Here is a 25,293-nt window from a genome sequence, read left to right as displayed (position 1 = left end):
GGTAGAGGGATGGAGATTAATGCCAGCAAACTGACACAAGCTCTATGACTAGTGTTCCTGAATTTCCTGGTCTTTACATTCACCATATGGTCAGTTTGATGAAGTCACCATATGAAAATATGGTGACAAGATGAGGTTGATAAACCTAAAACACAAAACCAAGGAGCGGTGAACCCTGCACATCAGCTGGGGCTTTGATCTCCATGTGTCCTGTCCAGAGCCACCAGAAATAACTCCCTGCCCCAAAGGTGACCCTACGAGCTAAGCAACTAGTCTTTCCTGGGGCATAATATTTCCTGTGTCCCAAGGACTAAGGAATTTTTATGGCATTTTAACAGGCGTATGAAGTCAGATCTAGTTTGGAATTCAGCTTTACCACTAACTAGTACCACTAACTAGCTGTAAGACTTAAGGCAACTTATTTGACTTTTTAAAGCCTTAGTTTCATCATCTGAAAATGAGGATGAGAATTGTAGTAGCTTCCTTAAATAGTAGTTCAGAGTATTCAGCGAGACAATGTGCATAAAGCCCCACTCCTAATGTGCCTCCTAATGCGCCTCCTAATGCACCTCCTACCTCACAGTGAGTGTTCATTACATGTTGATGGTGGTTATTATCATAGCGGACCCCTTGATGCATTTGGCTTTGTCTTAGCCTGTTTGATGTTGCTATAATGGAATACCTGAGGCTAGATAATTTATAAAGAAAAGAGGTTTATTCGACTCACATTTCTGTTGGCTGGAAGGTTTAAGACTGGGCATCTGGTGAGGAGCTTAAGTAGCTTCCATTCATGGTGGAGGGTGAAGGGGAGCCAGGATGTGCTGAGATCACATGGCAAGAGAGGAAGCAAGAGAGAGACAGGGGAGGTGCCAGGCTCTCTGAAACGATCAGCTCTTTTGGGAACTAATAGAGTGAAAACCTTGCTCATCCTTCCTCCAGGGAGTGAATTAATCTATTCATTATGGCTCCATCCCCATGATCCAAGCACCTCCCATTGGTCTCATTTTTAACATTGGGGATCAAATTTCAATATGAGATTTGGAGGGGGACAAACCTTCAAACTACAGCAGGCATGTCTGATGGAAACATCTATATGCTTTGATTGCTTGATTACCCTAAACAAAAAAGCCCTTAGAACTCCTGCTATAGACATTCACGGGCCATCTTCCTTCCCTGAAGGGATCTCTCTTGCCTCCCATCTTTGCTAGTGTTTCTCAGAGTCTGCTCTGAAGACTTTCTATCTAAAGTAGGATAAGAAGAGTTCTGTGATCAAAACTGCTCAGAAAATAAAGCCTACATATGTTCCTTTTCAAGATTCGTGATGTACACTTGCATTGGTCTCCTGTAAAGGAACAAGTTTAACATTGTTCAACGTGGTGTTTCTAAAACTAACTGAACCAGGGGGATCCTTTTGGCCTAACTGCTGTTGCTACCTGACAGATCCTGATTTCTATGGTGCATCGCCTGGACCTTGCTGCCCTAGACTCTCAACTCTGTTGTTTATTTGTTGGCTATGGTAACTTGGAAGCCAGTGATGGGGCTACTGACAGCCAGGAACTGCCCCACCCCACTGACACTTTGGTGGGCTGGGCTTGTACACAGGCACTCTGAGAACCCCCTTGTGCTCCTTGCTCCTAAAACTAGCAAAATACAGGGGACTGTGCTCTCCAGATGTTTGCTAATCCCCTGTGAGTGTGCTGATATATGCAACTATGCTGGTGTTACTCTGACCTGAGAAATAAGGAGACCATATGTCCATGTTGCAGCAGCGGCAGCATCCAGCAGGACCAAGGTTTCTGTGCACCAAAGACTGGTTCTAGATTTGTCTCCCAGACTGTGGCTCCTGCATCTAGTGCTCCAGGCAGCTAATGTCCCTGTGCACATCCTCTGTTCTGAGGAGGCCCAGCTTGATTTGAGTGGCAGCAAGCCCAAAACATACCTGGGCAACTCTGGTCCCTGCTTTTGTTCCCTTATCATCAGCTATGCCCTAAAGTCGATTTTCTTCTCTGTCAGATTATAATAACATTATGCTAAGAACAGCCCAGATGAGTGCTGCCAAACTTTAACTTGCATACACGTACAAACTTTAATTTGCATACCTGGAGGATCTTGCAAATTGGGATTTCCAACTTTTGAGATAGAGTTTGAGATCTGGAAATCAGCATAGACTATGGGTCACACTTTGAGTGGCAGGAAGCTAGGTTTAAAGACTGGATTCTCCTAAAGAGAGACTGTGGAGTGCATTTTGCCTAAGGGTTTTCAGGTTCTAAACAATTTAATAGATATTTTCTCTCTTGTTAGAACCTTGCAACAATCCTTTGAGGTAGCCTAGCAGGATTCTTATATCCATTTAAAAAATGAAGACATTGAGATTCTGAGAAATGGAGTAACTTACCTGAGGTCAACTCATAACGGAAAAATCTGTCCAGGGCTCTATTTACTGCAGCACAACTGCTTGATTAAGGAGGAAGGAAAACTTCTAAGCATTAGCTCCTGAGCTGCCAAAGCAGTATTTACCCTTCTTTCTTGGTATGACTTTTGACCAAGATTATGTGTATGCCTATCACCACCTCTAGCTGACAGCAACCTCTGGAGGATAAAATTCTATTATGTCTATCTTCCCACTCCTAACAGCTCTTGACTATGGGGTTGACTATGGGATTGTTGACTAAATGACTGGGTATCTGAGGGTGCTCACTTATTGTCAGTGAAGGATGACACTTTCTGTGGTTCTTATCTTTGTAAGGGCTCCTCATTGCTTATAGCAAGGGCTCTTAATCTTTGGGGAAATGAAGGATTTTACTGAGAATAATATCTTCTGTGCTGCTGCTTCTCAGAAGGTTGTTGCTGTGGTTTCAATGTCCCCTCCAAAAACACCAAAAACAATTTTTAAACTTAATGGCCATTGTAACAGTATTACAATATAAGACCTTTAAGACATGATTAGGCCATGGCCCTCATGAATGGATCAATGCTGTTATTGTGGGAATAGGTTAGTTATTGTGGGAGTGGGTTCCTGATAAAAGGGTGAAGTTCAGTTCCCATTTCTCTCTCTCTCTTGCGTTCTTGCTTCTGCCTTATGCTTCTGCCATGGGATGACCCTCACCAGATGCCAGCACCATGTTCTTGGAATTCCCAGTCTCCACAACCCTGAGCCAAATAAGCTTCCATTTTTATTAAATTATCTAGTCTGTGGTATTCTGTTATTGCAGCAGAAAATAGACTAAGACAGAAGATTGGTACCAAGAAGTGGAGCTGTTGCTACTCAAAAATACCTGAAAATGTGGAAGCCATTTTGGAACTCAGTAATAAGTACAGACTGGAAGAGTTTGAAGAAGAATGCTAAGAAAAGCCTGTATTGCCATAAACAGAGCATTAAGGGTGTTTTTGGTGAAGGGTCAGAAGAGGAGAGCTGCATGGGAAATCTGAACCTTCTTAGAGATTACTTAAGTGGTCATGACCAGAATGTTAGTAGAGGTATGGATACTCAAGGCCCTTCTGATGAAGTCTTAGATGTAAATGAAGAACAAAGTATTGGAAATGAAAGTAAAGTTTATCCTTTTTATGTAGTTGCAAAAACTTGGTGGAATTGTGTCTGTGTCCTAGGGCTTTATGGGAAGTAGAACTAGGATATCTGGCAGAAGAAATATTTAAGCAACAAAGAATTGAGGCTGCTGTGTGGTTACTTGTAACTGCATACGGTAAGGTGCAAGAGCAAAGAGATGACTTAAAGACAAAATTTATAATGAAAAGTAAAGCAGAATAGAAATATTTGGAAAGTTTATAGTCTGTCCATGTAAAGAGTAAAAAAACATATTTGGGAGAGAATACTAAGGATGTGGCCAAGCCATTTTTGATAAAGAGATTATCAAGGATAAAAGGAGCTAGGTAGTATTCATCAAGACAGTGGAAGAAAGACTCTGAAGGCCATCAAAAATCTTTGAGGCTGCCCACTTCCATCACAGACTTAGAGCTCTAAGAGGGCAGAATGATTTCGGGGCATAGGCCCAGGGTGCCTCTCATGGGCTCACTGCTCAGAGCCATCTCAGGTTTCTGTGCCCTGCATTCTGGTACAGCACTCCTCTCTGCCCTAGCCATGACTCAATTGGGTTCTTGTGTGTCTTGACCTGCCACTCTGAAAAGTACATGCTAGAAGCCTTAACAGTGTCCGTTTGGTGCTAATTCTGTAGTTATGCAAAATGCCAGAGCTGTGGAGAATGGCATCTTTCAGATTTTGTGGAGAGATGTTGCAGATGGCCTGGGGGCCCAGGCAGAAACCTACTGCAGGGGTAGAGCTACTACATAGCATCTCCATCAGGGAAACACCTAGTGGAGCCCAGACAGCAAGGCCACCTCAGAGACCTCAGGACTTCAGAGTCACTAGTATGCAACTCCAGCCTGGGAAATCTGCAGGTGTAAGACTCCAACCCTTGAGAGCTGCTGGGAAGGCTAAGCCCAGCAAAGCCATAGGAGTGGGGTTGTCTGAGACCTTGGGGGCCCAATTCCCACAGTAGTGTGGCCAGGAAGCAGAATGTAGAATCAAAGGAGATTATTCTCTAGCTTTAAGACTTACTGTTTTATGGGGCGTGGTGGTTCACGCCTGTAATCCCAACACTTTGGGAGGCCGGGCGGGTGGATCATCTAAGGTCAGGAATTTGAGATCAGCCAACATGGTGAAACCCTGTCTCTACTGAAAAAATACAAAAATTAGCTAGGCGTCGTGGCGCACACCTGTAAGTCACAGCTGAGACTGGAGAATCGCTTGAACCTGAGAGGCAGACGTTGAGTGAGCTGAATCATGCCACTGCACTCCAGCCTGGGTGACAGAGCAACAGAGTGAGACTCTTTCTCAAAAAAAAAAAAAAAAAAAAAAGACTTAATGTTGTTTTCCCTATTGGGTTTTGGACTTACTTGAGGCCTTTTACTCCCTTCCTTTTTCTTGTTGGCCCTTTTTGCTGTAGAAATGTCTATTCTATGCCTGTCTCACCATTGCATTTTGGAAGTAGGTAACCTGTTTTGATTTCACAGGCTTACAGCTGGAGGGAGTTTGCCTCAGGATGAATTGTGCTTTGGGGCTCAGCCATCCATGTCTGATTTAGATGAGACTTTGGACTTTTGAATTTATGCTGGAGCAAGTTAAGACTTTTGGGCTATTGAGACGGAATGAATGTGTTTTGTGTGTGAGAAGGACATGAGTTTTAGGGGCCAAGGGCAGAATGCTATGGTTTGAATATCCCCTTCAAAACTCATGTTGAAATTTAATTGCTATTATAGTAGATGGTGCCTTTAAGAGGTAATTAGGCCATGCGTGCTCCTCTCTCATGAATGGATTAATGAAATGATCACAGGAGTGGGTGCCTGAAAAAAGGATGAAGTGCAGCCCCCATTTCTCTGTTGCCTCGTGTGCTTGTAGGCTCTCTCTGTGCTGCCTGGTGTCCAAAGCTCCTTGAGATGTAGGCAATGTGCTTTCTACTATGATGTCCTGGTTGAGGCTCCTTTGATAGCAAGTAGCCAAAATCTATTTGAGTTAGTTTAAACAAAATTATATTTGTTTTTGTTTTTGTGTGAGGGGGGAAGGCTACTGGGATAGTTTCTAGAATCAATGGAAAAATTGGAAAGGAGCAAGGCAAAAATTCAGGTGGCATTTCCAGGAACCTCAGTGACCAGAACTAGGGGCTTGAATGATACAAGGTCATTCTATCTCTTCTTTTTTATTCATATTAAGGGGACATGGCTGCGGGCAGCTTCCAGTTCATGTTTCACAGGCCTGAGACCAGACAGAAAAAAGTTCTTTTCTACCAGTTTTAATAATAATCAAAATAAGAAGTCTTGAATGGGGTTTCCTGGGGGCAGTGTCCATCATGGACCAATTGCTGTGGCCAAGAAGGTAGAGTAGGGTGGCCATGCTGCTTGGGTTACATGCCCACTCCTTACCCATCCCTGCATCAGGGAGAAGTGATGAAGCCAGAGGAGAGGTGATAAAGCCTCATGCCTGGCTCCTTTTCCCACCATATGGGCGGAGGGGTGGGATGACTCCCTAAAGACAAGGAGGCACCCACAGGAACTCTGGGGAAAGGAGGTCAGGTTTGTTTTCTCTAATTTCTCTTGTGAAATCCTTTGTTGCAGTTGGTTGGGTTCTTGCTGTGCGACACTCAAATACTCACTGCCACCCCTGGGCTCCTGGGACTCCCTCCTGTCCTGCTTCTTGTTTTGGACTTAACCCTATATTTGTCTCCAAAGGTTGCAGTAACAAAGTACAACGTTACTTTTAAGCACTGGACTTAAAACAACAGAAATTTATTCTGTCATAGTTTTGGAGTCTAAAAGTTTGAAACCAGGGTGTAGGCAGTAGGCAGGGTTGATTCATTCTGGGCACTCTGAGGGAAAAAGTGCCCCATGCCTCTCGCCTGGGCATGCCTGGGCTTGTGGATGCCTCACTCCAGTCTCCACCACCATTTTCCATGGCCACTGTCTTCACATGGCTCTCATCTCTCTGTGTGTCTTCTCTATGAGGACACCAGTGATATTGGATGGAGGACCTCCTCCTGCAGCATGGCCTCATCCTAGCTAGTTACACCTGCAACCATCTTCTTTCCAAATTTGGTCCCACCCTGAGGTACTAGGGGCCAGGACTCCAACATATCTGTTGAGGGGACAGAATTCAGCCCACTTACCAGGCTCCCAGATGAAGACCAGCATCTTCAGGAGGCCTTTGCTGACTCTCCCAGGTCGGGTCCATTTCTCCTTAGAGCTCCCATTGTCTTGACTGTGCAGCTGCTGTATAGCGTTGGAGCCTTGGGCTCTCTACGGACACCTCACCTTTTTGCAAGACCAAAGTTCCTTGAGGGCAAAAATTCAGATCTTTTTAATATCCCTGTGGTGTCTAGAACGGCGCTTAACACCACGTGAGCACTCAGTGAATGCCAGGGAATGAATGTGGGGGTGACGGAGTGGTAATGAGACTACTTGAAATACCCCCCAGCTTTCTTCTCCAGATTGCCAGCCTGAAAGGGAACTGGGCAAAGGTGATACCTATCAGTCTTTTGACTTCAGCCGCCCATGCAGAATCACTGGAGGGGTCAGGGAAGGAGCCCTGCTAGCTTCAGGTTTCCTCTGAGGCCTCAGGCGGTGGGAGAACTCCATGCTCATGCTCTGGGCTTGGCCTCAGTGAGGCCCAGCCACGCTGCCTCAGCCTGTGGACTTCTCTTGGGGTCAGGAAGGCAAGATGATGGGACAAACCACTTTTGAGACACGTGTATATTTGTTCTTGATCTACAAGGCCAGGTATGTCCTGGGACTCAGGAAACTCAGTGTTTCAAACTTGCTTTGTGATAATGTCCTGCCTGTACCAAGCTCAGATTCTTCCAGTAGGGCCTCCAAGAAGGAGCATTTTCATGCAAAGGGATGGGCAGGCTCTGTGTCAGCTGTCAGCACCCGGGAAAGCAAAGGACCTGGAATGCTCTGTATTTAGCTGGTGACAGTGAGATGTCACAAAGAGTTACTTGGGGAAGACGACATTCAGCACGAACAATGACGTGGTCAGGAATCGCTCACCATCTATGATGACGTGGGGCTGACCAGCAGGAGATCAAAGCTGGCAGGCGCCTTGGCTGGGGTGGTAGCTGGCCACTGTGCTCCATCCTCTCTGCCCTCCTCCATAAACCATCTGTGACAGGGTGGCATCTCCAGCAGGCCGGCAGTGCAGAAGGGAACATGTGCAGCCATATTTCAGCCTGGACACCAGGACTTTAATGTGAACGCCTGCGTGTCTGGTGCTGAAGTTGCGCTGAAGCTGATTTGTGGCCGTCTGAATTTACAGCCTCGGAGAACAACAGCATCCACCAACTAGACCCATATGTGTTCAGTCCCCAAGCCTGGGTCTCAGAGAACAGCACAGGGGAAGGATGCGGAGGGGAGCAAGAAAGGAGATTTTATTTTGGTTCCCAGCAATCGGTGGTGAAATAGACACGCACACAGCGGTTTCCTAGTGGCATTTTAAGGGCATCCACCCGCTCTCACAACTCATCCTCCTTCTCTCTCTCACCCAAGGTTTTCTGCACAGCCTTGAGCTTGAAGAGATTTATAGAAGTAACTCAAAATCACAAACATCCTACTGTCCAAGGCTGGCACCACAAAGTCACCTGCTTAGTCTGGAATTCCCACGAACTCTTAATCTCATTACACCAGCTCTGAGCTTCAAAGACAGCAGGGCTCAGTTTTCCTTGTGGGTGGGACTGGATTGCTCTGCTCCCAGGCAAGCACAGAAAGACCCTATAGAAGGACACAGGGCCTGACTCACATAATGGGAGGGCTCCAGCAGGGCTCAGCCTCCCACAGTCTCTCCTGTTGCTGCTGCCTTGTGACAGGTCTGAACTCTCCTAAGCCAGGGAGATAAGCTAGCCCTCCACCAAGCCCTCTAGCTCCAAGATCCAGAAACCCAACAGTTAGTGAACATTCTAGCAGCTCTGCACTAGGCCTAATCCTATCAGGTTATGAATTACTCTTTCTTTCCCCAATAAAGAAAGAGTCTAAAATGCTTTCCCCCAGGGGCAGGTGACATAGACTTGTTCAGACTATGGCAGGGCCTGACATCAGCACCTGTCCTGAGAGCAGATATGCAGTCTCTGGGGTGAGTCCATGAGGGCACAGCAGGATGGAAGGGGAAATGGGGAGAAAGGTCTGCGAGTGGGTCATAGTTGCCAGGCTTGCGTTCTGTCTTCCACCCAGGAAACAGAAGGTATGGATGTTCCTGGGCATCTAACATTCTTTCTTGATCAATCCTTGTCAAGTGGCATTGTTTACGGGGAATGTAGCCTCTCTGCGAGTTAGGGGTGTGTGCGTGTGTGTGCATTTGTGCATATGCGCGCATGCACGCATATGCTTATGAGGAGAGACAGTGGTAGCAAGGTGACAGCAGAGATGAGGCATGACAGGTAGAAAGGGTTCCTAAATCAGAGTAAGAGGACTGTGTTCAAAGCAATGGCTCTGTCATGTCCTGGCAATGTGTACTTGGGCCAGTCACTGTGCTCTCTGAATGTGAGATTTCTTTGCTAGAAAAATGGATAATAATCCCTTCCCTGCTTACCGTCTTCCCAGGGCTGTTAGGATGACAAAGGAGAGGACGTATATGCAACATCATCCCATAGACTATAAATCAATAAACAAAATGGTGTGTGTGTGTTGGAGGGGGTGGGATATTATACACTCATAGGAAATCAGTAACAGCTTTAGAGCTCACCAGGCCCAATCCTCTGATTTTAGATAAGTTCAGAAAAGTTGAGAGGCTTGCTAAGGACATACAACATTAGGCTGATGACATAAGTGGTTAGATACAAAATAAGATGGAACTCATATGTATTTGGAAATTTAAAGAAATATTCAGAAAAATAACTCTATCTACTCTTAAAACAAGACTCCACCACCACCATGGAGCTGCTTTTTAGCTTTGTTTTGTTTTCATCACAGCTGTGGATGTTTCTGTCAACATTATTCCAAACTAATGTTCGGTTTGGATTTCTAACTGCCATAAAATCTCTCAACAAAGACACCACGTTCCTCTTTGTGGATTCCTTGGTTTCTTCCCTGACCACGCTGTTACTCTGTGACCTAGGAAAATGAGCCAGGGCGGGAGAGCAAGGGATTCACCAAGAAATGCTCACATTGGAGAATGATCCTGACCTCTGGATCATAAAGTGTGGATCATTGGCAAATTGCTTAAGATAACACTGTGGCAGGGAAAGTAATGTTCAGTTTAAAAAAAAAACTGGCATCAATTCTCTGAGGGAGAGAATTGTCTTTTGTTCTGCTAAATACTTTGATTACTTTTTGGAGTGTGGAAGGTGAGCTTCCCCCCAGGACATGGCTTAACTGAGCTAGACTGGATATGGCTTCCAATCTTGGCTGTGCATTAGAATCATCTGAGCTTTGAAAAAAATATGCATGCATGTACCCCACCTTTAGAGCCTCTGATGTGATTGGTCTATGCATGGGTATCTAAAAAAAAATTCCCCAGGAGATGTGATTCCCCTAGGCCAGAACCAAACAAGAGGGGCAGGGAGAAGAGTGACAGAAGTGGAGGGGCTGATGCTTGATGGGATACAAGAGAAGGAAAACGAATTCAATCTGGGTGGCAGTGGGTTGGGGCTCTTTGCAAAGAGATGGCAGTGAGGAGTTTTTAACAAGCAAGGGGTGTTAAAAAAGGAGTCACTGGCATTTAATTTTAGGTTGGTTGTTGTGATGCAGTGTAACCCCACCCTATACCTTCAAATTCCCATGGAAAGTCTCTACCTGCCAAGGCTAGTGTCCGTAGTACTGCGGGGAACGTGCAAAAACTAAGGCAGGCTCCAGTGATGGGCCGAGAAATTCCGACACCTGCAGAAGATGAAACTGGAGCAGGGTTAAGAATTCAGGAAGAATGGGAAATTGGAGCTAGAGGGAACTGGGACAAATAGAACCACCCTAAGAATCTTCTGATATATTGCCAGAGATGCTGGGGCTCCTACTGTTGGTGGGCAAAGCATTGAAGGTGATTTTATTTTAGTCTGAATACATAGCCACCAAGAACATGAACACTTACAAAGAGCTGAGACTTAAGCCAAGGAATAAGAAATAATTCACCATCTTCCACTCCATCCACCTTTCACACTCCACATGTGGAATATTTTATAGCTATCACAGCTCATTTGCATTCTTCTTGTTTTGAGCCTTCCAACAGGCCTCAGAGGTGGGTGAGGAGGGAATTTGTCACATTTCATTGGTGAGAAAAGGTAGTCATCAGTAGCTGGAAACTTGTGTACAGCGAGTTACAGCAGTGGTGGAGCTGTGGCTCCTGGCCTGAGCTTAGTGATCGCCCCGCCATTCCAGGCTGACGTTGGTTTTTCTGACCACCTCAGCCCTGGAGGGAGATCTTCTAAGACTCTCTAACAATGTGAGTTCCATATTCAACCATTATTTAATCTCTTCTCGTTCTTCCATTTTTCGTCTCCCCTCTCTTTCTTTTCTCTCCTGTTTCCCTTCTCCATCCCTCCTCCCCACTTCCCCAGTTCCCCATCTCCTCATCCTCCTCGGCCACTGCTTCTTTAGCATTTACAGGCCCGTGCTTTCACTGGATGGATCTCCCCCCAGAGCAGTAGCTTCACATATGAAGTACGTACAAAAATGTTTTCTAGTCCTTCTTCATTATTTGGTCTTCTGTGTTTCTTTATCCCGTTCCAGGATGAGTCAAATGTTCTTACCAGCATGTATTGCAGAATCACCGAGCCTGGAATTGGAAAGCACTTGCCCTCCCTATCTGTAAGGAACTTCCTGGGCTTGCTCACCATCACCACAAATTGTTGATGTAACACTCATTCTCGGCAGATACTGAGTACTAAATATGCTAACTGGTTTCAGCTGACCTTTGCTCTAGATTCAAAAGAAAGGAATGGTGACCCATTTTTCCCACATGGAAGTAAATAGCTGAGTGTATTTTATGCCCAGGTGTTTGCCATATAGCTTGATAGAAAACCATGTCCTGGAAAACTATAAGCCAATCTAACTTATAGAAATAAACGGAGTGAGAATCATTATTTTTTATTGGTACCACTTAATGTAAAGAAAATGCACATTTTCCAAAAATATGGAAAAAACATTGCGTTTGCCTTATTGGGTCCAAATGTTAGGTTTAAATTATTTTACTATGCAAAGTTTCTTTCATATCTTGGCAGTAGTGATTTCCATTTTTATTCCTTTGGTATCCATAATCTTATGAGAATCAAAAACATATGCTTTGAGATCACTGGATAGCTCCTCCTCCAACATGTAAAAAAATGCATGGGGAAGGTTATTGCTCTGGTAGCAAAAATACCAGGAACGCTATGGGAGAAAATTATGAGGACATCTAGGCTGGATGGGAAAGAGGTTCAAAGGTGCATTCTGGTTTTCATGCTTTTGATTTGCAAGTCATTAGACTGGAAGAGCCTCTGCCTCCTGCTGACTGCCACTAGGAATGAAATTTTTTCTTGCCTATTAGGGGATGCTTATTCAATGACTCCAGGTTTGTAGTATGTGAGGAGAATGAGAGGACTGGATTCTCCAGTGCTTCTTGAGATGGGGCACTTGTTGTCTGGAGGACTGGGCTAAAAGTAGATGGACTTCTGGCATTCCTTTGTCTGCAGGAGGAGGGGGCATTTGGCAGAGTAGGAGATGTATCATGGGGGTTTCAATCTCAGGAATTTTAGGCTCACAGAGATCAGGATAAGTCAATAAAAAGATTGAGTGCTTTACGTTCTTGCCTGAAAAAGTAATTATTAGAGAACAAATTTTGAGAACAGTCAGATATTAAGGGAAGGGAAGGTGAGAAGGTATGTGGAGAAGAAGAGAAAGGGCAGATGGAGGCTCAGCATCCCCCAGGGGTAGGATGTCAAGGGTTCGTGTTGGCCTTGCCCATGCACTGGGCTGTAGTCCAGCTGTTATGTCAGCAGGTTACACAGTGCTTCAGGGATCCTCACTCAGCCAGCCTCATTTTGCAATGTTTTAAATCCTTTTACTGGGAAGTGATGATTCAGTGCAATGTCATAGGGATCCCAGTGTAGGGTGGGAGCAAACTGACATGGTGCTACATTTCAGACCCTAGGTGTACCCAGAGAGATAAAAGATATGATTCTAATGCTATCAGTTTGAGTTTTGTCTGCCTCCAGAACAGAATGTACCATCTGTAGAGGTGACTGGACTTAGACTCAGAGCTGGGCAAACTTTAAGGCCTCTATACAACAAGCATGGTGGTCGAACACCTGTAAAGAAGTGGCTTCGGTCGGGCGCGGTGGCTCACGCCTGTAATCCCAGCACTTTGGGAGGCCGAAGCAGGCGGATCACAAGGTCAGGAGATCGACACTGTCCTGGCTAATGTGGTGAAACCCCGTCTCTACTAAAAATATAAAAAATTAGCCGGGCATGGTGGCAGGCACCTGTAATCCCAGCTACTTGGGAGGCTGAGGCAGGACAATCGCTTGAACTCAGGAGGTGGAGGTTGCAGTGAGCTGAGATTGCACCACTGCACTCCAGCCTGGGTGACAGAGCGAGACCAGGTCTCAAAAAAAAAAAAAAGAAGTGGCTTCATAGGCCTCACCTGTTGTTGGGGATGTAACTCGGAGGACTGAGCTGGCTCACAATTTTGCTTATTCCTTGTTCCAGGAGTAGCCCACGAGAGCCCTAAAAGCATTGGATTCAGAGCAAAGGGCTCAACTAGAGTTTTTGGATCCCATTGATTTTAGTGGGTTCATAAACTCTATTTGTGGAATATTATACACAGATCTGTGTATTCCGGAGATACAGAACTTTCATAAAATGCCATACACATTTTTGACTCCAAAAAAAAAAAAAGGCTAAAAATCTCTAAAATGGGGAATTCTCTACTTTTGGTGAAAATGGAGTAGTGATTACTATTAGTTAGAATCTTGTTTTTCTCAGAAGCCAGGGCTGGAGATGTTCCTCCAACTGTGCCTGCTTTTCCCATTCTGTCTTTCTCTCATCCCCCACTGCAGAGTTGGTGGCACCGGGACCTGAAGTCTTCTATCTCTTTTCCTTCATGTGCTACTCTCACTTCCCTAGCCAGGATGTGGGGTTGGTAAAAACAGGTCCCTTCTACCTGACGCTTGTAACTCGAGGCCCAGCCCTGAAGATCTGAGTTCTGGAGACTAGAGTTTCATGGCGATTGTTAAGGTGATTGTTGCAGGATTTTCAATGCCCTTCAAATCTGCTGCTCCTTCTCTTTCTGATTCAAACCCAGGGACTGTCCAGTGCAATGGCTCCAGACAATAGGAGCCTGTGATTTTGTTTCTCCAGTGATATTTGCTGATAGTTTCTGTGGTCTGCAGGTCTCTTTTGATGGGTAAGTGAGCTTACTTTTCAGTATGATATGGAACCCAAATCAGGCATTTAAGACTACATCTGATATATGGCTGACCTGTCCAGCCTAAGGTCTCTCCTCCCCTGTCTCAATTTCCCTCCAGGCCAAGCCTCTAATGTTTCCCAAAACACCCAGGACCACATCATTCCCTTGCCTCCTTTGTACCTGCTGTTTGTCTTGTCTGGGCTGTGGCCTTGCTCTGTGTACACAGCCAGATGCCCCACATTTTCTCTGTCCTTGAGTTTATGATTAGTGAACAAGTATCTTAATCCACAGGCCATTCTTGCCCGTATTTCTGCAACTCATATGCTACATTTGATCCTCAGCAAAGTTATCTTGGAATGACCTTTCTCCCCTAGTCCTTTTGGAAAACTCACTCTTCTTTCAAATTCAACAGAAGCATCTTATTCTCTATGAAACTCTGTGTGATTTCCCCAAGCCAAGCTGTTCCCTCTCTCTTTTAAGGCCCCTTGTACCTGGGGGCACATGATGATTCTTGCCCTGTTTTCTCTGTATTGCACTTTTTTCTCTACATGTCTGGGAGCGCCTCTACTTGTAAACTTCTTGAAGACAGAAATTGCATCTTAGTTACTCTGCCTTTTCCTACATTTCCATATCCAGCACTCAATAGGTGCTTAGTAAATGTTTCTGAATGAATGAATAAATAAATGAATGGCAGTCACTCATCTAAGTCCTAATTAGTCGTAAGGATGAAGAATAAATGCACTCCACTCACAAATAAGCAAATATAATTGAAGTAACACAACTATTCAAAATATTTTTTCATATTATCAATTAATCTTTGTATTATATGAGGTTGGTGCAAAAGTAATTGAGATTTTTGCCATTATGGCAAAAATCTCAATTACTTTTGCACCAACCTAATAAAAGTGTAGAGAAAGTTTACAATTGTATGCTTAATAACCAAGTGGAATAATAAAGACTCCCTTACACCAGGACTCCATGACCTCCCTTACCTTGACTTTCTGACATTGGCTAGGATGCCAGTCAGAAATGCTGAGTGCCTCCTGCATGACCATCAGCTCATTGATCTCTAGAAACCAGCACAGTCTCTTTGCCAAACAAGACCTTAAAAATACTCAGGGGAAGCACCCGCAGCATTTGGGAGGTAAAGTGCTGCATTTCTTTGGGTTTCTTTGTTGCATTTCTTTGCATTTCTTTGTTGAACATGATTCAGGAAGCAGGCTTGTGTACATCTGTGTGGACAGGACAGATGTAAGAGTCCCACCAGGAACTCACCTCATCAGGACCCCAGTCTTCTCCCAGGAGGGCTCACATTGCATATCTCAATGGCTCAGCCTCCTTGGTCTCTAGGTTTCCTCTGCAAACCAAATTTTCACTCATTCAGGGTGGCTCCTTCTGCAGATCCAAGTCCTGCTCAAAATTCTCTTCACTGTGAAATATCAATGAAGCTTAAAGGCAGGGATGGAGCACACTAGTAATCAACCAGATTGGAGGATTATCACAAACAGAAAGCTAGGAGCTCAGGGAATTCAGTGGTAGACTTTCGGCCCAACCCCCCACCCTATTTCCCCATCATTAGCTTCTGCCAAGTTGCTTGGCATCCTGGGTCTCACTTTTCTTCACTATAACATGGGAATAAGAATAGTATTTCCACTTGCATCTCTAAATTATTATGAGGAGCAAATGAAATAAAGACTGAAAACATGTATCTAGTATACCATATTTGTTTGGCTTCTCACTGTATCCTTAGGGCCTAGCTGGGAGCCAGAACATAGAGGTGGCTCAGATCCTGGGGAAGTGGATGGCTTTTTGAGAAACAGAAGAGTATCATGGTGTATGTGACTCAGGCACCAGCCATCTTTGTTCAAGTCCCAACTCATTTTTCCTAGCTGTGTAGACCTAGAGTAAGTTACTTAAACTCACTCTATGTAACCAATGTCCTTTTTTTTCTGGAGAGACAATAATAGCATTTACCTTGTAAGATGGTTGTGAGGTTTAAAAGAGATCCTGCCTTTAAAGTTCTGGAACTTTAAAGTTCTTTAAACAGAGTCTTTCAATAAATATCAGCTGCTGTTATCCTTCCTCCTAAAAGCCTCCATTCACCCATAGGTAGAGAATAATACTCATGTGCAAGATACTTTGGGAAACTTTTATTCTCTTTGCCAGCACATAGGTTTATGTAACTTTGTCCATGAACTCCAAAGCATATACTGCTGGTCCCTTTTATGTAAGTCTTATACAGCTCTCTTTCTCTCCAGTGAAGTCAAATAATATATTTTAAGGCTCACGTTGCTTTTCCTTTGATTCTCCTAAGTTTTGTAAATAACTTTTAAATTTTTGAATAGTTTTAGATTTACAGAAAAGTTGCCAGTATAGCACAGAATCCTTGTATACCCTTCATCCAGTTTCCCCTAATGTTAACATCTTATATAACCATGTTACATTTGTCAGGACTAAGAATTCAACATTATACATCACTGTAAACCAAGCTAAAGGTGTTATTTGGATTCTACCAGTTTCCTACGAGCATCCTTTTCTTTTCCAGGATCCCAGCCATGTTGCCCTCAGTAGCCCTCCCTCCTTGGACTGTGACAGTTTCTCCATCTTCTTTTGTTTACATGACCTTGATCGCTTTGAGGAGTACAGGGTGAGTATTTTGTAGACTGTTCCTCAATTTGGGCTTGTCATATTTTTTTTGTCATGATTAGACTGGCACTGTGGGCTTTGGGAAGGACACCCTACAGATAAAGTGCTGAGCCCCACTTGAGTGAGAAATCTCTATGTCTTTGCTGCCTTTTCTTCTCTTCATTTTCTCTTTCTCTCTTTTCTGATTTTTCTCTCGCAAGTGGACTCACACTCTAAGTAAGCTGAAGGGAAATATGATTGTTCTCTGGAGGGAAATTAGAATTTGGAACTGAAGAAAGCATTTTGCTTGTGCCAACCTCCGTTATACTTGACATGCCAAAGACCACCACAGGGATTTAACCTTGCTTATTTCTCCCAGCTCTCACATTTGCTGGCTCTATATTGACACATGACATGAAATTGAGGGTTCCTTCAGTTCTATGTTCATTTCAAGTTGCAGGTGCTAACATTTCAGCCACATGCCCTGGGGGTCTTCTGCTTCTCTCCTCAGCATGCCCATGTCTCCATCTCTGCACGCTCATATTGTGTCCTTTCTTTACAGCCCAGGTCACATGCCACTGCTGTCCCTCCACAGCTAGGCTGGAGTCCAAGGTGGGAGTCAGGATAGATACACAGCTACAAAGGAAAGCACAAGTTGTGAGGGATTCTGAAACAGGGCTCAGTACCTGGGCTAGTGGTTTGGCCTCTGGGTGGAAGCCCCCATAATTCATTTCTATCTCCAGGCCATAGGTTCCAGCAGTTCTCATGACCCAGGTTACCACACATTGCTAGACAGGTGGGAGGCTCTAGCTGAACTGTCCTGAATCCCCAGCCGCAGGCTGTCTGACCCACCCAGGCAGTGTTTCCTAGCTGGTAAGGAGAAACCTTTGAAATAGGTGATCCTTGAGTGTGTTATATAGGAACTGATAAGTAATTTCACCTTAAAACTAAATGCTTTTGGGGGAAGACAATATTATTGAAATAATTTAAGCTTCATCTTTAAAATTCTAAATAAAAATACTTTAGCTAATGGTAATTAACATTCTGAAATCATATTTCTTAATTTTGAAGATGGGTTCAAGAAGGGGGAAAAACCCAGAAAGATGACTGGCAAATTTCAAACTGAATATTTAATTTTCACATGATTTAGGCTGAAATGCTCTGCAATCTATAGGTTTGTGAAGGTTAAAATTCATCAGAGCACATGGTTTCTTCAAGCGAAATCACAACTGGGGGCTTATGAAGGACGTCTTCAGTGGCACATGCTTGTTGGGGGAAAAGCCTTGTTTAAAACATAAGACAGAAAGTGAAACTGATATTCTTCATGCATTTCTTTGAGCTGCAGCCTGGTCTGGCATTCACTGAAACCAAATATTGCTGCTGTTCTGCCTTTGCTATAGCAGGACAAATCAGAAAGTGCTCAAGAACAATACGCAAATTACAGGCATTCAAAGACACTTGATGTGGATTCAGGCTGAGCCTTCTGGAGAACATCCCCAAACTATGTTTTCTGTGTTTCACAGAAACCACGGTTTCTCTTCCCCTTCCCCTAACTCCAGTTTCACCAAAGGCAGCATGGTATGACGATAGAAGAAGTATGGGTTTTAGGGGGTCACTGGCTGAGGTTCAAGTCTCAGCAACTTTGTTGCTAACTATGGTATCCTGAACAAGCTATTTGGTTTCAGAGTCTCAATTTCATCTGGTGTAAATAGGGCCAGGCTAGTTATTCCCAAGCATTTCAAAGTCATTATGAACATTAACAGTAGTTACCATTGGGAAAGCCTCTAGTATAGCTGCTAGGATATGAAAGGTGTTAAGGAAGCATCCTTTGACTTCTCTGCACTATAGATTTTTATTATTATTATTTATGTAGTTGGTCTATAAAGAAAGAGAAAAGTCTCCTAGAGCTTATCATGGAAATAAGCCCTTGTCCATTCCACTGGCTTACTCCACTGGCCTACTCCACTGACTATGTAGGATGGGTACTGAGATGTCACATGGCAATAGGGTCCGTGCTTCTTTTGGTCCTGCCAGTCAGAACATGGGGAGGTGAAAACTGCTGCATAGAGGAGGCAGGGGACTTGAGGGTAGGAGAAAGCTACCCCACCACCCCCTTTTCTCACTGTAAGGACATTTGAGCACTCTTTCCCCCACCATTCTGCTCCATGTGAACATGTATGTCCCACATATATGTTTTGCTTGTTCATGCCGAGTCAGCTGCAGCAAAGCACGAGTCTGCAATTTAGTGTCATTGTCAGGGCCTAACACATGGAATGAGTTTGATATTCACTTGTAGAAGAAGAGGAGAGAGCTGGGAATGGATTTGGAGAAGGACTGACCAGAGGATGGAAGAATAGTCAGAGCTTGGTTATGGAAATGCCTCCATTGGCAGAGAAGGGGAGCCACTGGATGGGCTTCTTATGGTCACTGAGGTTTTAGGGATGGTCTGAGGATACTCCAGGCTTTTAGCACAGACCTGCAAGGCAGACTGCAGGGAGAACAGTACTTTAGATCCACTAAAAATAATTCACCTTTATAGATTCTTTCAGCACTTCACCTTTACCTCTAAATGCATGAGAGGGGTTTCTGCCTTCTATGGACCACAGTTCAAAGACCACACTACTTACTCATAAGTCTGGCTCCCAATAAGGGGCTCAATTATCAGACTTTCACTTCATTTACCCCTACGCTCTACTGACCTCACAACTCTCTGGCCTCATTGGGATGCCCGATCCGTTGATCCTGACGCTTTCTTACTCTCTCGCCTTCCTTGTGGCTTCAATCTTCTCCTGATCAAGCTGTGGCTCCTTCATCAGTGCCATATTCACTACTTTAAAAAGTTACTACCTCCCTTGTTTCCTTTCCCTCATATTACCCTTGTCCCTAAACTCCCAACCTGGTTAAACTCAGCCATTTCCTTACACTGAGTTGTACCTGAGCATCTCTATACTACCAGAGGGAAAAAAAACATCTTGTCATAACTGGGCTGATTGAATGATTGAACTCTCTTTAAACTAATGACCACAAATCTCAAATTTCATATCTTCTCTTATCTCCAGAAACCTCCAAAAAGCCTCACTTCAGACTGATGAATTTGCCTCACATGATACCAAGAAATAGGTGTGTTACAGCTCCCATGTAAACAAAACCCTTCAGTGTGCCCTGGAGAAACAGTCTATCTGTATAAATGGCATGTTATCTTTACTAATGTATAAATTAAAATAGAGTTCCATTCTACATTTAAGCCCAAACTGAAATAGCTCTAACGTCCACCACTAAGCTTTGTCAATCAGGGATGAAGTCTTCCTCAGATCATATTGACTTTTCTCAGCAACAATCTTCGACTGACATCTGTGAAATTATTTTCTTTCATCCCTTGTCTGATGTCTTCAGAACCACCTGATGGTAGCTCAGCACTAATAGTGACCATTGTGAGGACATCAATGTCTATTCCAGGGATGATCTTGCCACAGTCTCTTAAACTCATTAATCTCTGGAGGTTAAAACACTCCGATTCTCTGCAAGAGTTCAGGAGGGAAAGACGACCTCTGTGTCTCTGCAGCATGATGGTATAAATTGTTTCCATTTCGTCTACTCCTAGGTCATTCCTAGTTACTAAATACTCACGGTTACTCTCCTACCTAAAGTTTTCAGAGCTGTTATTTTTCCTTCTAGAAAAGAGATTGAGTATGAGATTAGTTTGTTTGTTTGCTTGTTTGTTTTTGTTTTGTTTTGAGACAGAGTCTTGCTCTGTCACCCAGGCTGGAGCGCAGTGGCGAGATCTTGGCTCACTGCAACCTCTGCCTCCTGGGTTCAAGTGATTCTCCTGCCTCAGCCTCCCGAGTAACTGAGATTACGGGCATGCACCACCACACCTGGCTAATTGTTGTATTTTTAGTAGAGACAGAGTCTCGCCATGTTGGCCAGGCTGATCTTGAACTTCTGACCTCAGGTGATCCACCCTCCTTGGTCTCCCAAAGTGCTGGGATTATGGGTTTGAGCCACTGTGCCTGGCAGGGATTAATTAGTTTTTTTGGTACTATTTTGCGCAAACAGAGAATCAGAGGGCATTTTGCCAGATATAATGTCTACTCCCCCAGTGATGGATGATAAAAGCCTGGTGGAGCCGGGTAAAAATCAGCTTGTTTCTCTGAGTCTCATCTTTAAAGGGTATCATGCGGTAGAAGTAAAGCCACTGACACTCCCAGTGAGAGCACTGGGGCTTGGCTTTTCATTTGTTAAATGAAAGGGTTTGATTAGATGACTTTTAAGGGTACTTTTAGCCCAGGAGCTTTAATTCTAATCAACATCTTGAATGATACTGCAAATGGCAACCTTTTAACAAGGTTTTAGGCTTCCTGAATAGAAAGTCCTAAGGAAGTAGACCAGAGGTCCCATCAATTTCCTGGTAAGAAAGCCAGTCAATAGAACAACCATACATCTAGGCTGTGATGCATCACAGCTGTTTAAGTCACAACTGAGTCAGTAGGCGATAATTTTGTATGTCTTGTCTAATAGGGGAAAACCGAACAATTCACGGCTGGGGTGGTGGGGGTAGGTATTATACCTCCTTCAAAGAATGATTTAAAAAGCAAGCAAAATACTGATATTAATTGCAGACACCAAGTATAGGACCTTGGGCATATCTCTCTGAGCATTGGTTTATTCCTTTATAAGATAGGCATAAACATAATTCGTATGTCTTTAATTGTTTTGAGGATTGAATGAGGATTGAATATTTAAAGTTCTTAGCACAAGTACTTAACAAATGCTGTCAACAATTTTGATTATATTATTTATTATAATTATTACTTCTGAATATTGAAATGAGAGTTTAAAGGAGGTTTTTTAAAGGTGAAGATAGATTTGGTGGTACAAAGTCTTTTCTGGTACCCCTGATGTCAGGGTATATAGTTACTTCCCTGCTCACCGTTAGCTGTAGTTATTAACCTCACATCCCACCTCTGCTCAACCCTCAAGGAGATTTCTTGTCTGTGACTCAAAATCATGGAAGACCTCATCTCCACTTCTGGTGCTGGGTCAAGGGGATATGAGAGATGTTGGTGTAGGCTTCCTGGGAGATGGAGTGAAGAACGAATGCTTCCCCTCACACCACAGCCACTGAGCTTCTCTCCTCCCCTGAAGATGATAGAAGGGGCTTCACTTATAAATGTAAATGCAAGCTTGGCTTGGAAAGGTCTCCACTTCCTCTGCCCAGATCCTGATTCCTCTTGTCTCTTGGCAGCTTGAATAATTGAAGAACTTACCCAGTATTCTAGAAACCTGTCAAACAATCACACTTTCTTTTAAACTTTTGTGTTCTGACAGGATCATGTAAATCCTGAAGACCCCAAGCCACAGATCCCCTTGCCTATGGCATTCTTGGCCTTTTGACTGATAATTAACCTATTGACTTTGTAGAAGCAGAGAGTGTTGGGCTTGACACTGGGAGAGCTGGATTCAAATCCTACTCTGCCATCAGTAACCGTGTGATTTGGGTAGAGAGATGTGCTTTCCTGAGCCTCGGTTTCTGATGAGTGAGATAAGGATAATAACAGTATCAAGGGTGATCTTGAACTCCATTTGTTGGTAAAAAAATACTTATGACACAACTTTAAATAAAAAGGAAATTATACAGTGTTATAGATGGGATGATCACATTTTTTGAAAAGGCCAATTATACCTGCACACAAAAAAGACTGAAAAAGATATTCACCAAAATGTTTATGGTATTATCTCTGGGCATGAGAGTGGCAAGTGATTTGTAATGATTTTCTGTGAAGATTATTGTTTCTGTAATTAGAAAAAAAACACACAAGAGCCAAATGAAAGGTATTTCCTTTTTTTTTTTTTTTAAAGTGTCTTCCTCACACTTTCTCTCTCACCTTTCTTGTGGCTTCAATCTTTTCCTGATCAAGCTGTGGCTCCTTCATCAGTGCCATATTCACTACTTTGAAAAGTTACTACTCCCTTATTTCCTTTCCCTCATATTACCCTTGTCCCTAAACTCCCAACCTGGTTAAACTCAGCCATTCCCTTGCACTGAGTTGTACCTGAGCATCTCTATACTACCAGAGGAAAAAAAAAAAACATCATGTCATAACTGGGCTGATTGAACTCTCTTTAAACTAATGACCACAAATCTCAAATTTCTTATCTTCCCTTATCTCCAGAAACCTCCAAAAAGCCACACTTTAGACTGATGAATTTGCCTCATATGATACCATATGAGGCATTTATTAAAAAAAAAAAAAAAAGATAACAGCTTCCTCAAGGTTTCTACAGCCTAATAGGAAGAGATGCTTATTCTCTCTGAGGGCTGACTCTGCCAGGCACTCTGGGAAGGACCAGCTGGGCCGCCCAAGCTGGCTACTTAGTCAGATTCACAAAATCCCTGCAGGCTGAGTGATGAGGAAGCCTTCAGCAAGGCTGTGGAACTTTAACTGGGTCTAAAGATGACAGTAACAACCCAGTTACAGTCTTTTGTTTCAGGCGGGTGTTGAGGTAACCCACTAGCATCAATTACTTTGGTATTCCAAAATGGTGGTGGCCCAAATCAGTAAATTAACTTTAAGCATCTTTAATGTGCCGGGTCTTGTAACCAGCACTATGAAAATTTTGTTCTATTGCCTATTATTTTATGTTTTCAAAATAAATGATAGAAATCTTTTTAACATTAGAATTAGGAATTTCACAAATGTTAAATGCATCCAAAAAGGAGCAGGATTTATATACATGCTGTCCAGATACACAGACTCACACATATATTTATATATTCATAGACATTCATATAGTTAATTTTATTCCTTGTCTGTTGCTACAGATACTAAAAGTGCAGGCTAAGGGGGAAAAATCTAGATTCATTTGAATCAGCAGTTGTGAAATTGGACTTAGCTCAAGAAGACAAGAACGTGGCCTCCAGAAAGCAATTTCCTCTGCGGCTTGGGAACAACTGCAGATGACCCCCTTGATATCTGACATAGGGAGTTTCCCAGTGTGAAGGGAGGGGCTGGCTAGAGGGGTCACGACTGGACAGCTTGGTTTGGCCAGAAGGTGATGGTGCCAACCCACCCCAGGAATGCTGGCGACCAAGGTGTTGGCTTCTGTTTGTCTCATTATGTTTAGGTATAGATAGTTACAAAATGTTCTGGAGGATGGGACATCCAGGGAGCTCACAGAAGATCAAAGTAGACTCCATTTGAGGAAAGCATGGCATGGTGGGAAGTCACTGAGCAGATCTAGGGTCTCTAATGAAGTGTTGCCATCTACCCATTCAGGTTTATCTCTGGTCCCTTCTCCCTGCACTCAACACTCAGGCAGACTGAGCTACTGAATATGCATGTGCTTTCTGAAGTCATCGTGCCTTTGCACATGTTACAACTTTTCCATACAATGTGCTGCTTTGCCTTCTTCTGGCAAACTCACCTTAATCATTGACAGCTCAGTTCAAGCTCCTTTTCCTTATTCTTGTTTTAATTTGGCTTTTTTTTTCATAATTTCTTGCATGTTTAAAAATGATATTTATTCACTTAAGTCTTTGAATATTCTAAACCCAATTATTATTATTATTATTACTTTTTTTTTTTTTTTTTTTTTTTTTTTTGGTACAGAGTTTCGCTCTTGTTGCCCAGGCTGGAGTGCAATGGGATGATCTCGGCTCACTGCAGCCTCTGCCTCCCGTAAACCCAATTAAAGTCTCCTAAAAGAGTGTTCTATAACATTAATTTCATCTGGTGTGTGAATTCATGCTCTGAATTGGCTATCTTCTGAGCTTCAGATTTCTTCCTATGTTTTAGAATTGGGCTTTGCAGTCTCACTTTATGTTATGTTCAATTTTTTTGTGTATTATTTTCTCTCTTCTTCTGTGCTCACCCATTTGTATCCAGCAGTTTCCCCCAGCCTAGAGCCAGGTTTAATGGAAGTTCAGGGTTTATGCTCCACAGTGGCCTCAGGAACATTCCAGACCCAGTCACCAGGCCAGTGGGCACCTTGGTTCTGTTCCTCATCATGAGTTTCTGCCTTTCTTCTGTGGTGTTCCTAGCTCATGGCTCCTGTGAAATGGTAGACTCAGGTAACTGAGAGCAACAGGTTTTTGTTTTGTTTTGTTTTGTTTTTTTTTGGTGAGAGGGTGGTGTGGAATCTTGCCCCTGCCTGACTCTAAGCAGAGACCCTGCCTACACTCCCCTGCCCCGAGACCTCTGTTTGCTTCCACACCCACCCATAGCCACAGGCACATAGCTCTATCAGCTTGTTACTGAGTGTTTTTGTCCCACTTTTAGTCTACCAAAAATGGATCTTGGTTTTCACAGGGACTCTGCCTTTTCGTTCTCCTTTTTGCATTTCCTCTGCCACTGCTCTGTACTTTGAGCGGAGGAAACACGTGGATTTTGGAGTGACTGCCACCTGGACCGGAGGCTCTTCCCTTTTGAAATGCTGAATGTTTTCATATGTCTGGAAATGGTTCTCTGATAGAAGCCATGTCCCATTCAGTCCCAGACAGAAAGACTTTAGTGAAGTTTTTCCTTGTCTGCTTAAGAGTCCCAATAGTTAGTGTGAGAGAGGACTGAACGGAAGGTACAGGGAAGTGGCTGCGAGTGTGGGAATTTCACTTCTGCTTAGGAGCAGCCTTAGCAGTCTACTGCCTGGATGTCTGCTGAGAATCAGAGGGCATTTTGAATCAGAGGTTGCCTTAGCAAATCCCTTTCCAGCTGGTTAGTGTGTCCTATGTCCAGCCCCCGCTCTACATATAGCACGCTGTGCAGGGAGCCTGAGTGGCCATAGCTGGAGGAGTGTCCACC

At 43.7% G+C, this 25,293-nt stretch overlaps 1 protein-coding gene across 3 annotated transcripts in view, besides 1 other annotated feature; it reads left to right on the top strand.

Annotated features, from left to right (window-relative positions):
- The window catches only part of LOC124905977 (uncharacterized), an 82,330-nt gene that overhangs the window by 43,889 nt on the left and 13,148 nt on the right, over positions 1–25,293 (top strand). For 2 of the 3 annotated variants that reach the window (XM_047446558.1, XM_047446557.1), the window contains exon 3: positions 16,416–16,517. In XM_047446558.1, coding sequence (XP_047302514.1) covers positions 16,416–16,517 — 102 coding nt within the window. Of the gene's footprint in view, positions 1–16,415; positions 20,065–25,293 lie in introns of all 3 variants that reach the window. The other variant, XR_007086240.1, reaches the window with a different exon arrangement.
- Positions 6,049–7,248: an enhancer, noted in NCBI's record as "BRD4-independent group 4 enhancer chr2:19853789-19854988 (GRCh37/hg19 assembly coordinates)". NCBI's record gives its function as "activates an origin of replication core promoter dependent on BRD2, P300/CBP, MED14 and CDK7 cofactors, and independent of BRD4, by STARR-seq in HCT116 cells {active_cell/tissue: HCT116}" and the evidence as "EXISTENCE:reporter gene assay evidence [ECO:0000049][PMID:35650434]".

Source organism: Homo sapiens, chromosome 2 (genome assembly GCF_000001405.40).
Source record: "Homo sapiens chromosome 2, GRCh38.p14 Primary Assembly".
In the NCBI taxonomy this organism is placed as follows: Eukaryota; Metazoa; Chordata; class Mammalia; order Primates; family Hominidae; genus Homo; species Homo sapiens.
Note: the sequence above shows the minus strand (reverse complement) of the source record. Positions and strands in the feature narration are given on the sequence as shown.